Raw genomic sequence first — 14362 nt, 5'->3', positions numbered from 1 at the left:
TTTATGTTCAGAACAGGATATTATAGGTTCAAATAAGGATATATTTTATGTCTAAGCATATCATCTTCTGCACTAGTTCTCTTTAGTATCTTAAATGACTTATTTGGAGTTGGGTGAGTAAATGAAAAGGCTCCACAAGCACAGATTCCAAACCTAACTCTCTGCTCTGTTTTGCAGTTTTGAATGTAAATGAATGCCTCCTACATTATTAGCAGGACTAGGTTACATCTCTAAAAATTCACTTTCTTAGTTTTATTTTATTTAAACCTCTTAATTGTGGTTGGTATGGGGGATGGGAGGATAAAACTGTTTCATGGAAAGACACATGACCAGAGATGTCCAGGCAGCAGAACATCTGCATCTGTTTTTTTTTTTTTTTTTCCAGAATGAGGGAAAACGCCATTTGATTTTTAGGCCATTGCATCTATGATATATAATAGTTATTATATATAATAGCCATTGCAATATAATAACTCCATCTCCAAAGATTTTGGTATGTATTTCAAAGTAATAAGTTTTGAGATTTAATAATCAACTAGAAAACACATTTTGAGAGCAGTATTATTTTCGGAAAGTAGAATATAATTTCATATGAATGGGTACCTAAATTAACCAGAACATAGTTTTTGAAAGTTGTTTTGTGAGCTAAGCAATTGAAAATTTGAATTTCTTAAAAATTGCTTTGTGGGCTAAACAAGGGAAAGTTTGAATCTCAGATGATCTGCATCACAAAATTGGACTGATAAGAGCAGTAGCTGAGGATGAAAGCCCCAATAGATGTTTAAATGCCCAAAACAAAGTTGGTGCTCAGCAGTAATGATGCCCTTTACAAAATCCCTCCCAAAATTCTACTTAAGAGAAGACCTTTGAGCTTTCACATAATCTGTCACTTCATATACACTTGATTAATTTAAAAAATCTTCAATCCACTGTTGTATCTGATTTTAAAAGGGGAAGGATTTAAAAGTTGTAGTTTGTGGTTGTTGTACAGGCAGCCTTTTTACTTCTTGATTACTTTAAGGATAGTTATCCTAATTAATATTTAAATTAAGCCTCAGCAAAACTGAGTATTCTCCCTACATCTATCCCTTTCCAAAAGCAGTATGACTTCATTACATTTATCACAGAGTCATAAATAAATTCTGTCATTCACATAGTATCTGGTAGGATTTTTCTCTACTTACAAACTGCAAAAATATAGAATAAAAATTTGGGGTAAAAGGAAGGTTTTGTCCAAAGTATAAACATGCAATAGCTTCAAAGAACTGCAGATTTGGCTTTGCCCCAGAACTATCCTTATTTTCCTGCTGTTCAATTCTGTGATCTGAATCCATTGAAGAGTGGTCCGCTGTTAACAGCCACCCAAGCTCTATTCTTACACTCTTTGGCTCCACCTCCCCTGCTGGCTCTGAATTAGCGCTGGAATCAGATCATCAAGAGACCACTGCGATTTGACTTAGGTGACAGATAACCTAATCAAGCAAAGTTAAAGACCTTTCCAACAAGTAATATTTGCTACATAATTTCCCTCTGGGTGTTCCTTTAATCTATTGAATGAAAAAATGCAACAGAGTTCACATTTTCCAGAGATGATATAGCTATGGATGGCCTGCCTGCATAAAAAACAACAGAGTAGAATGCAGACAACTGCACAAGCAATTAATTATGCAAACAAATTGATCAGCAACCAGTTATTACTCATCTGTTTTGTGCTTAACACTGTGCAAGGTGCTGTGGATGATGAAAATTAAAGACCTTCCAAATACATATTAATTTCTGAGGAACCATCAAAAATCAAAAGTATTATTAAAGAAAATGCCAGTCAATATTTATAATCAATAAGCCGCCACTACTTAACCTTTTAGTCACAACCAAAGCTAACCAATCTATAGTTGTCCTTTCCACAGACTTCATTATGTGAACATCTGATTCACCTAACCTTTAAAAAGTTCCTAAAAGTAGTAGTTCTGAATTTCCAGAAAATTGTGGATATAGGTGTAGAGATAGATATAAGGGTAGACATATTAAACACAGATTTATTATTTGGGTAGTCTAAAAGTGTCATTTTGAAAGGCTTAAAAAAAACACTATTAGCCTTCTTCAAAAAAAGATCTAACTATATTTCTTAATCAGGATGTTGCACCTAATTTATTTGTATCTATCAGGGTCCCAAAAAGAAAAGATGGTACACTGAAGTCAGGATATTTTGAGGAGACCTTTGTTTGCAAAGAGAATAATCATAAAGACAATAAAAAGACCTACGGGAACTACAAAGAATGGTGCAGGAGCCTAGTAGCAGCAGGAGCAGTGAGGATGTCACCCCTCCTAAAGCTGAAGGGACTAAGAGAGTGAGAGTTTAGCCAGAAAGAACCACATGGAGCAATGGCATGAAGTCAAGGGACCCCAGCAGCCTGAAGTGGTTTCATAAAGAGTAAGCTGGGAGAATAAAATCCCTGGCTTCATCTTCCTCTTTCTTTTCCATCCATTACTGGGTCTTCTTATTCACCAAAACTAACTGGAACCCAGAGAGCATGGGTGTCCTTTAATAGAATCCATGAAAATGTAGTCTGAGCATTTAGGGGAAAGAGAAGGGTGAAAATCAAGTGGAAGATATCTGGCATTTCAGTGAAAGAAATTTTGCATCACAACAATTACTTTATTAAAACATCAAGAGATCCAACAACTTATATATAAAAAACAACAAGAGATCCAACTACTTATATATAAGAACAAGAAAAGCTCTTAAGAGATAGAAAGGCATGCTTAGTAACGTTCGGAATGTGGATAGGAAAATTCCACAAGTGGATGTTGTGCAACAAAAGCACACACAATGGACCTTCTGAAGCAGGGTTTATTTGAGGAACAGTTGTGCAGGTCCCTATTGCCCCCTATGTTCTGAGACAGGGAATCCACAGTTCCTTCAGATATAGGGAATGTGGAGAGGGGATCCAGGCCTTGGATTAAGCTGCACAATCAGGGAACCAACAGCTCTGTTCCCAGCATGATCAGAGGGCAGGATCAAAGCTTGACTCTTGCAGCTCCTATGATATAGTGGGTTTTGGGCCCAATTCTCCACATCGGTATTCAACTAGGATTAACTGCCTTGGACATTCAGCTTTAGCCAATTTTCTTGGAGACTTATATGTTGCCAACTCCTCCTTTGGGAGGCCAGCCTGCAGAAAATCACTCCTGGACAAGTTACTCTTCACCTCTTTAAGTTATGTTTTAGTGTGTTAACTTCCTAGCTGATTGTGCATTATTTTTATTCTTAGCACATTAAATTTGTAAAGTCATATCTAACTTGTAGAATAATGTTACTATACTGGAGGTGAAAAAAATACAACTGTGCATTTAAACCACTATACTCTAATTGAATAAATGTGGTTACATTATTTTATTATTCTGGTGCCAAGTTATCTTAAAGAAAGGCCAAAAAAAGATGCTATCAAAGGATTCTTTTAGCACTAACATTCATTGGTCATTTCCATTTATTTCTAGAACCAAAAAATGCTCCAAAATTATGATCTGAACAAAAACCTGAAGGTGTCCCTTTTGTGCTTAATAATATATAAATTTCAGATAGTTCCAATAAATTTTTTATTTTATTCAATCTTATTATAGAAAATGCATGCCTCTTTTTGTATTTACTAACAAGTCTTTCTGTTTACAATATGTTAGCATATAAACTAATTGAGAAAAATGGTAATATATAAAAAGGAGGGAGGAATCTGCCTACATAAAGCTCATCATTATTTCATTTGTACTTAACACGACTTTGGACAAAGTAAACTACCTACTTTGTCTGCAGGAAAAGGAGCCAAGGGAAAAGCTCCTAAAGAAAAGAGATTAACATTTTTTAAAATAAATTATTAAGGTGTGAATTAAGTGGGTATATTTGCCTTACCAGATAGAGCAAAAAGGTGTATATTCAGTTATTTGCTTTGTTTGCTTTGTGCATTATATTGTTTAGCATTGTACCAAGAGACCAAGAAAGGGGGAATAAATTATAAAAATGAGGCTGTCCTTTGAGAACCTGGCAGTCAGAGGTCAGCACCAACATTATCCAATGTCAAAATCAGAAGCCTAAAAGACAATATTAAATACAAACTACTCTATAGGTGTGAGAATGTGTTATGATAATAAATATAGAAAATGATATTATGTCTTTGTAATGGACTGTGCCCATTAGTATCCTATGGGTATACGTTTTGTTGAGAAATACAAAATTCTGACTGAGGTTTCGATGACAGTTCTGCTATGTCATGCTACATGGTGACATGTAGGAACCTCAAGCTTACCAGTGACAAACTGGTTTCTATTTCAATAATGGGTTTCAAGTGGTAAGCTCAGAACAGATGGGTGTAGGAGCATTGTTTTTGTCATCGTTATTTTCTCAACTTCTAAACTTTAAATAAAAAACATGTATTATCTTTATTTTTTTAAAAAGCATTTTTCCCAGGAGTGCAGTGCGGTTGCATGGTCTGATTTGTTTCATCCATATATCTCTTGGCAGGTTGCATCCCAGCATTCTCAGAACATGTTACCTTGTGACCCACCACTCTGGGCAGTCAATAAGGGCCTCTTTTATGGCTACTATTCATTTCTAAATGAGATTAAAAATACAGGTAAAATTTCTGAAATTAATCTTAGCCAAATGCATCATAGTCTTAGAGAAAAGACTTTCAATAAACATATAAGATTTGTAGCACAGAAAAAAAGCTATATCTAACTTTTTCATTTATTCGTTCTCACACACATTCTCTTGAAAATAATTATGTGATTTCCATATTCAAGAATAGGTTACTCAGATAACTAACCCCTTCCTAATCTTGCCTCTCACTTTATCAATCAATGAGCTATTTAACTTGCTAAGTAGCATCTGAATGCCCAGGAAACATTTCTCTGTGTCCAGGAATTTTGAGTCTGTCTAGAGTCAGGCTCTTAAAGAATACAGATGTTTTTCTGACTGCTGGTTGTCCTCCCAACCACTTATCAAAAACCTACAAAAAGCAAATGTGCTACAAAGAATTTATGGATTACTGAGAGCATTTCTGTTATTGTGATAAGGTATTTCATAGCTAACTTTTTAGCTGCAATTACATGGAAGAGTCAGCCTACATTAAACAGAGTTCAGCTTTCCTGACAGCTATCAAAAAATCCTTCTGTTCCTTAGGTCCAGCAAGACACACAGCAATAGAGTGTGTCTTTATTTATGAACAAAAATCAAAGCAATTATTAAAATTTTCATTTATTTTTCAAAGCTTTCTGTTAGCACAATTACATAACTGTATTTGGGAGCTTCTTTTATCATCTAGAAGAGTGCTTATCAAATTTTGGTGGTGTAAGGATCATCTGAGCATCTTGTTAAAGTGTAGATTCTGATTCAGTGGGTCTGGAGTGAATCCATGAACCCAAGAACCAAGATGCATTTCTAATAAGCTCTAAGATAGTACTTGTGCTGCTGGTGTTAGGACCAACTTTGAGAAGCAAGGGACTAAAAAAAAAAAATAAATAAATGAGGCTTTTCTATTTCTCAGGCACAGTGTCTGACTTTTACTACCATAATGCTGAGGGTTAGACATTACTGGGGTTAAAGAATGTGGACACAAAAACATGACTGAATAGAACTGGCCCTAGTTTTCAGCTTCGATTTAAGAAACTAGAAACAGCCACCTCACACCAGTGCTTCTTCAGGTCCTAGACCAGATTCGATGAGTAGAGGACATATTTGAGTAGATGGAGAATTTAGACCCACCTCTGGGGTGCTCAGAGGAATCCCACGGATACCTTTAGTGATATGAGGGCTAAGCCAGACGTGTTTGCCAGGCTGGGTGCGCGCAGAGGAAAAAGAGCAATGATTTCTATGAATACCTCTTTTAATATGGGTCAGGGCAGAGGAAAGAAGGGCTAGAAACATCTCCTCAGGCATTTAATTCACAATGGTAAATTCAGTCTTCAATCTGAAAGTTCACAAATCTTTATGAGATACTGTATTAGTTCATTCTCACACTGTTATAGAGATACTACCCAAAACTAGGCAATTTATAAGAAAAGAGGTTTAATTGACTCAGAGTTCCTCATGCCTGGGGAGGCCTCAGGAAACTTACAATCATGGCAGAAGGGGAAGACACACGTCTTACATGGCGGCAGGTGAGAGAGAGGGCAAAGCAAAGGGGGAAGAGCCCCTTATAAAACCATCAGATCTCATGAGAACTCACTATCATGAGAAGAGCATGGGGGAAACCGCCCCCGTGATCCTATCACCTCCCACTAGGTCTCTTCCTTGACATGTGGGGATTACAATTCAAGATGAGATTTGGGTGGGGATACAAAGCCAAACCATATCAGGCACCTACTTGCCAGGTCACGGAAGTATGCCCTGGAGAAGATACCAATTAGTACAACCTTGGGATTCCACCTTTGAGAAACTTGTAAATGATTGGGAAAAATATGATTTTCACATACAAAATGGTTAGTAATAATGTGATGCAGTGCTAAACGTCAAATTAGAGATAAGGGCTAAATTTATGACTACAAAGTTTGAATGGACATTTGGTAAAGCTTAGAAGTCCTACTATAATTTCCTGGTACATTTGTGTTCCCATTCTCCAAGATGATTATTGACTTATATTTCTCTCCTCAGTGTCCAAAAGCTCTTTTCCTCATCAGTTATGGCCCCCCTCATTCCTTATTAATAAAAAGGGAAGTAATCAGAAAAAAACCACTTCACTTCTCATCACTAAACTAACTCAAATTTATACTCTCTGCACCCACATCCTCCCCCTTTTCTCTTTTTGCTTGTTCCTGCTGATGACCAACTTGTCTATTTTTATCACTTCTAATCCACTCAAAAATCTTGATTTTATGATTTCCCCTCTCTTTTGCAAGGTCAATTTCTTTTTCTCAACAACAACCTCGACTTGCAATTATGCTTTAATATTGTCTGTACATAATACAAATAAGAAACCAAAAACTCCGTGTAAACTATGTCTTCTGGGCACTGCCTCACTTTTCAGCTCTTTTCTGTACAACTCTTCCAAGCAAGTTACTCCTTTTTCATTTTGTCCTCATCTCTCTTTGTTGAGAGGGATTCCTTCCAAACCCTGTGAGTTTCATTCCTTTTCTGTCTCTCTAGCCACATGGGTTTCATTTTGTCAAATCTGGTGGTCTATTTTCTAACCTTATCTCATTGGAACTTCTAGTAGCATTTGACATGGTTGGCCACCTCTCTTCTGGAATTACTTTCTTCTCTTGGCCTCCACATCAACACTCTCTTGGTTTTCCTTATATCTCACTGGAAGCTTCTTCCCAAAGCAATTTCCATATTTTGGAGTTCCCAGGGCTCAAACATTGGTCCCCTTCTATTCTCTGTCTGCTTTCCTGTGTCTGTCTGCCTCAGCCTACAGTGATCTCACTCAGTTCCCTGACTTTAAATCAAAGGGCATAGTGTGAGGTTTTGAGTTCTTTTTTTCTAATTTTGAGATGTAAGAAGAGTGATGAGATAGTACACTTGCAGAGAAAGTTACAAATTTCTTCAGGGCAATTTTCTAGAAAAGCCTAGGTGTAAAAGAGTCTGAATTAGTTTAGAACACTACATTAAGAAAACAAACAATGAGGCCAGAATTGCCTTTGGGAGGAGCACAGAGATTGTCAAGCCCCTAGTCTCTTTTGTGAACATTTGGGATTACAAGACCTATCTACCGCTGCACTTACAGAATACTGGTGACTGAGGTACACAAAAGCTATACTGGGGTTTAGGGAAGGAATATATATGGTTGTGGGGTCAGGGTTAAATCAATAGCAGTAGGAATGGGCTGGCTTTTTTTGTAAGTATTAAATTGGGGTAGTGTTGAAAAAAAGAAACAGCATCAGCAATACTAATAAGTGATGCCATTTTTGGCATTTGGGGTAAAGGAGACGAAGATACACTCTAGTTCTGCACCCACACAATAGTTATTCTTCTCATTAAATCTACTCCTCCAAGGGCATGTAGACGTTTCAATCACAAGTTGCCAAGATAATACAGAAGATTTTGAATGGTGGGTGTAAGTCAAGTGTTGATGATACATACCATATCCTGTCTCTAGCTTTGTTTGCCTCTCTGTGACTCTCATTTGAAAGTACTGCTCTGCAACACTAGTCCCTGTATGTTCTACATATGTAGAATGTACTTCTCAGATTAGGAAACCCTGCCATGAGGTTGAGGATTAATAAGAAAAATGGAGAAAGTGTTTTTTTCAAAATGACAAGTGTGAGAAAAACAGTGGAGATGGGTTTTTATCCAAAATCAGTCCTCCTCCTACCATCACTGCTTAATTTTTTGTTTCCCTGAGGAGCTTGCAAACCTTATTAGCATGAGCCAATCATTCACTTTCTTTGCAAGGTCTTTAAACAGGAGTCAAACATACTAGGAACACTCATAGTTGGAGGAAGTCACATTTCCAAGATTTTACATATTTCCACAAGGCAGAAAATGTTATTCATACACTGTGAGCTGTTCCACAGCTTTAGAATATTAAAGCCCCCAGAGATAGTGAATCAACTGGCGAGTCCTTTAGGAATGAATGAAGAACTGCCATAAGTACATTTCTCTGCCTTCCCAGAATGGTGTTTATAATGTGTTATAGGCAGAGGGGTCAACATAAAATAGGTTGCATATCTCACCTTGTGGAACCTGACCTTACATGTTCCTGTGTGTTCTTATTCCTCATCTCCCCTCGTTGGCCTCACTCTCATGTGTGGGACAGAAGGACCCCACTCCCAGGCCCCAGACACCGGAGGCATCCAGCCAAGCCCTGGGAGGCTTCTTTCTGCTGTACTATTTGAACCATCGCTGTGCAATTTGAATCTCCCAAATGAATTAATGACAAATGCCCAGGAATTCTAGTACCCCCTTGAGTCAAATGAAGTAAGCCTGGAAGTCCATTTAGGCTCGTCTAATAGTAGCAACAAAGGACTAAGGATTCCTAGTGATGGAACACTAAATACAGATAAAGAGAACATTCCCTGGGAGCATTATTGCTTGGCTTTATTATTTTTTTCTGTGTAAGACACTTCAGGCTGAAAGAGCTTCCAATTTCTCAGCAGTAAACTGATTAGTGTCTCCTTACTGCAGTTTACTTGCGGGGCCAGAAAAGAGCAAAACCACCTGGTCCAGCAAGGTTTGCAGAGATAGGAAGCTCATTTATTTGCATGGGCATCCTACTGCCCAGGTGCTGTGTTTCCTCCACGGCTTGCTTGATCCATGCATTAAGGGGTGTCACTAGGAACTCAGAGCAGCCTCAGGGATGTTCTTCAAAGATGCCAGGAAATGGAAAGGATGAAAAGTCTTTGGGAGAGACACTGAACTTTATCCATTAGAGGCAAATGTTTGTTTCATACCTAGTTATGTCTGCTGTTAGATTTTGTTATTTAAAAATTGTTTTGTCAACAGAGTCATAAACTTGAAACCATACCTTTCCAAAAAAATAATGGATTCCCACTTTTCAGAAAAAACTGATAGCTGTAGTTATACATGTGAAATGGAAAAAAAATTTTCACGTAAAATAAGAAAGCTCATTTACTACAAGGAAGCAAAAATTCAACTTTCAAGCAATTATAAGTGAGAGAGTATAGAGTTAATCACAATAAAATGAGTTTAGGTAACTATTAGGCATTTTCAAATATCAATTTAACATCACTAATTACTATTATTATACAGTATGAACATAAGATTAATTGGGATTTCTAAGTTTTGTAGCAAACTGTATACCAGTGACATGATTTTTTGTTGTTTACAATATCAGTATAAAATTAATTCAGTTCTCTATGTGTGAGGAAATTCCTGACTAGAAAAAGAAGTTTCATCAATGAAAGTATGCCCACTAAAATGCTCCCCTAGAGGTACTTACAATACACAAACACAAGATTATTCTCTACGAGACCTTTTATTTTGCCTTGGCATTGCCATGGGCATGAATTTTCAACCTCAACATTGTTCAGAGATTTGTATTTTAAAATATGCTCTTTACTACTGTAAATTTCATCTTTTGAAAGTACAAGGAGAAACATTATTGTCCATTTTACACCATTGTTAATAACTTATACTAGGAAAATTCTGATGAGAGCTATTGATAGCATGTGTGCTTAAGGGTATATATATGTGTGTATGTGTGTGCATGTGTGTATGTAAGTCTTCACAGGCTACCTTATTTCTATAATTTTTGGAAACTCAAAAAATGAGTATGTCCCTTCATTTAATAGTTCATCATGAGACTGATATAGAATATTTTGTGGATTGCTGCATCACAGACTGTGAAATGAGTACAGTAAATAAGTTAGTTATTAAGAGCTGGAAACTTGGCCTTCTCAAAGTACAATTCTCAACTTCAATCTATTTTTGAAACTGTAAGAAGGAATAAAATCAGTTGTATATTTTCTCATTGCCAGCTGGAATCATCTTCAGCTACCATCACTTTGATTTGAGTTTCTTATCACACGGCTCCATTCTGAACTTGGTGCAGACTGAACTTGTATATGCAGACTGCTTGGGCAGTGGTCTATTCTGTGTAGACAGGGCAAAGTCACCACTCAGATATTTTGTCTTGGATTTTTCCAAATTATAGTAAGGCTTCTGCTAAAATTCTGTCACTGATTAGTATCATTAAGAGACAACAATATGGGAATATGATAAAACTTTCTGTCGTAGTCCATTTAGGCTGCTATAACAAAATACCATGGTCTGGTGGCTTATAAACAACAAAATTTATTTCTCACATATCTGGAGGTTGGAAAGTCCAAGATGAAGGTTCATGCAGATTTGGTGTCTTGTGAGGGCTGCTCCCTGGTTCATAGACAGCACCTTCTCACTCTATCTTCACATGACAGGAGGGGCAAGGGAGCCCTCTCACAGTCTCTTTTATAAGGACACTAATCCTGATCACCTTCCAAAGGTCCCACCTCTTAATACCATCACCTTGGGGTTAGGCTGTCAACATACTAATTTTGGGGTGGAAAAAAATCTCCTGACCATAGCACTTTCCTAAGCAGTTCCCAACAATAAATCCATTCAGGCATGCTGTGCAGAAGGAAGTTCCCGAGGTCACCAGCTGGTGGAAGGGAGGACCCTCCTTTAAGAAGCACAGGATTTGACTTTGCAATTGTTACCTCAAACTTTCACAAATCAGGCCTTTTATCATCAGAATCTCTTCATATGTATATATGTTTCATACTACAATTTATGGAAAGCTCAGAGTAAAATAATGATTGAGAGAGCTCACAACTAGACACTATCTCATGTAGCAAGGCATGTATTTAGAGCATTTAAAATATTTTTCAGGTGTTTCCTGTGTTTGCCTGGTTTATTTGATCTTTGATTTATTTTTTATTCTTCGGATGCAGTCCATACCCTGTCACAGTCCCTCCAGTGCCTAAGGTCTCTGCAGAGGTGATGTTTGTTTCCTCCCTCATGCCCACTTTCTCATGGTTGACCCATGCCCCCGACCCCCCAGGTAAATTAGAATCCCCAGGTTCTCTCTTGTCTTGTTATGAATGTTGAGCTTTTATCTTTTCCTTCTCTGAGCTTAGCCTCCTATGTAAAACAGCATCCTAAGTTTTCTTTCTGTCTTTTTTCTCCTCCTTCTTTCTACTTTCCCTGCTTCTCTTCCTCTTTTCTCTTCTCTCTCCATGTTCACCATGCTGTTCCAAGGCCAGTTATAAAGTCCATTCTTGTTTGGTTTATCCCATACAAGTAACTCCATTCACTCACCCTCCTCTTTCTCTTCTTTGTTTAAAGGCAATTTTGGAGAATTTTCACCACAAGTCCATGCAAGCATGACTTTGCTCCTTTCCATCTCTGTCTCTCCTCTCCTAGCTGTCCCTGCAGAGCCCCACCAGGGCCCACCTCTTCCCATCTCTGAGAAGTGCAGCTACTACTCTTTGTGGACAAAACTTTCTGAGAATAACAGTTGTCTATGTAATTATGTTATCACAATGCCAGGGGTTTGGTCTAGGTCCTGTTGCTTGCTGCACAGAAAGCCAATCACTGAGACGAACAAGTATTGCCAGGGAAGAAGCCTTTAATTGGTTGTTGCAGCTGTGGAGAAGGGAGGTCAGTCTCAAATCCATCTCCCTAATGTACTAAAATTAAGAGTTTGTATAGCTGGAAAGAAATGTAATCATGTGTGGGAAAACAGGAATTAGGGAGGGATATGGAAGAGGAGCTGGTAACCCAATAGCAGGTGGTCGCTTAGGCACTCATGATGGGTAAGGTGTCTAGTATCTCATTGTCCAGATGAAGTGATCTGGTAAGTTTCAATTCCTTGATCTATGTGGGAGGCCTGATTGTTGGTTTCCTGAGGAAAAAAAAAACCTCAGATAAGACATTTGTAAGTTTCTCAAGTTTTAAGATGGGGAGGGTCAATTTCTATGTTTATTCAACAGAAACCATAAATATATGTTCTATGAGACAATTGGGCTGGTTTCAATTGCATTTCTTATTCCTTGGTTTCAGTTAAATTGAGCATACATGCCTACATTCACCCTATTTTTTGTTTGTGTTTTAGAGAGAGGAAGGATAGTCCAAAATCTACAAGTTAATACTGAACCCTCCTACCCTTATTGCCCGCATCAGCTGTACTCTCTTAGATGCGAAGGGACAGAGAAGTGGGGAGGTTACCAGAAATGACAGGCACCTCTTGTAGGAATGGCTGCCTTCTTCATATTCTTTCCCCCTCCAAAAGCTAAGCAAAGGCCTCAGGGGTTTCTAACAGGTGGGGTTCTGCCAGTGTGAGACACGTTGGCCTTCAATAAGGTGGCTGAAGTTGGAGGGGTCCATGACAGACAGCGTGGCATCTGTGCTCAAAGATGAGCTGGACTTTTGGCAGCTTTGTTCCCAAAAGGTTGTGGGCACGACTTCACCAGGCATTTCATAGACTGCCCTCCAGCTCACTATTTCTCTCTGTTATCTGTGGTGCCCCTCTCTCCTGCAGCCACTGATGCCTGCCCTGTGGGGGCTGTCATGCAGATGAGAAATAACATATGCAGGGGCCTGGCATGGTGAATACTATTATTGTTACTATTGTATTTTACTGCCCAATGCAGAAACATGTGACTTGACAAGTAAGTCAGAACCATAAATGTATATACAAATCCCCCGTCCAAGAACAGATTACTGAGATAGTAAGCATTCAGGACCCTATGTTAGTGACAGACAGGGTTATCAATAACAACGCAAAAGACATAGTCATATGGAAAATAAGGTGAGGGTGAATCTTCAAAACTAGTTTTATTTTCCCATTTTCAAAATATTCTAAAATGATAATGTTCATAACAGTCCTGCGAGGTGCGAATTAATTTTTCCTCATTTTACAGATGTAGAAACTGAGGCTTAAAAGAGATTCAGTAACTCTCAATCACGTAGCTAGTAGGTGGCAGCATAAGGATTTGTAGTTAGGAGTATTAGGCTCCCAAGGCCCTGCTCTAATCCCATACTTCACGGCCTCTACACACCCAAAACAAGGAACCATTGATCCACCCTGCTGTGCCTCTGCAGCCAAGTGCCACTCTGCCTCCATTCCCAGGGCAAGCATTGCAGCATAAAATAGAGATGGGGCATTTCCCCTAGGCAGAAAACAATATTTTAGGGGCATATTTTTATTAAATTTACTAAAAATCAGCATGTGAATGTACTCTCTCTGTGAGAAGCATGATCCTTCAGGAACACTTAAACTTAATTCTTAATTAAAGACATTTTTACACACCTGTCATCCTAGCACTTTGGGAGGCCGAGGGGGGTGGATCACCTGAGGTCAGGAGTTTGAGACCAGCCTGGCCAACATGGTGAAACCCCGTCTCTACTAAAAATACAAAAATTAGCCAGGCATGGTGGCACACGGCTGTAATCCCAGCTACTCGGGAGGCTGAGGAAGGAGAATCGCTTGAACCTGGAAGGTGGAGGTTTCAGTGAGCCGAGATCATGCCATTGCACTCCAGCCTGAGTGACAGAGCAAGATTCTATCTCAAAGAAAAAAAAGACATTTGTAAATCAACTATCTTAAAAGATTACTATTCAAATAACTTTTCTACTTCAAACCCAGAGAAACTTTGTTTTCTGCTCAGATTTGAAGGAAGAAAATTATACAAGGTTTATAATAATATATGTAAAAGGTATCTTGATATTTTCATTTTATACTCTAGTCCAGCATTTCTCAGTTGTGTTCTCTAAAGGGTTAATAAGCACTTCAATTTTTGAAGACACAAAAATTTCATATTAGCAGATTATATTAAAAATATATAAATGTTATGTTAGAAATATGGAGATAGATGTGGGAATCTACTAAATCAATATAAGTGGTTGCTCTTATTTATGGGATCACCTTCCTGT

General features: G+C 38.1%; 1 protein-coding gene across 6 annotated transcripts in view; it reads right to left on the bottom strand.

Moving 5' to 3' along the window:
* The window catches only part of NKAIN3 (sodium/potassium transporting ATPase interacting 3), a 750799-nt gene that overhangs the window by 353133 nt on the left and 383304 nt on the right, over positions 1-14362 (bottom strand). The window contains exon 4 of one of the 6 annotated variants that reach the window (XM_047421721.1): positions 9908-12332. The exons of the other annotated variants lie outside the window; for them this stretch is intronic. Coding sequence (XP_047277677.1) covers positions 12261-12332 — 72 coding nt within the window. The 3' untranslated portion in view covers positions 9908-12260. Of the gene's footprint in view, positions 1-9907; positions 12333-14362 lie in introns of those variants that run through there. 6 annotated transcript variants of the gene reach the window in all.

This window comes from Homo sapiens, chromosome 8 (genome assembly GCF_000001405.40).
Source record: "Homo sapiens chromosome 8, GRCh38.p14 Primary Assembly".
Classification (NCBI taxonomy): domain Eukaryota; kingdom Metazoa; phylum Chordata; class Mammalia; order Primates; family Hominidae; genus Homo; species Homo sapiens.
This window is presented reverse-complemented; position numbering and strand designations above follow the sequence as displayed.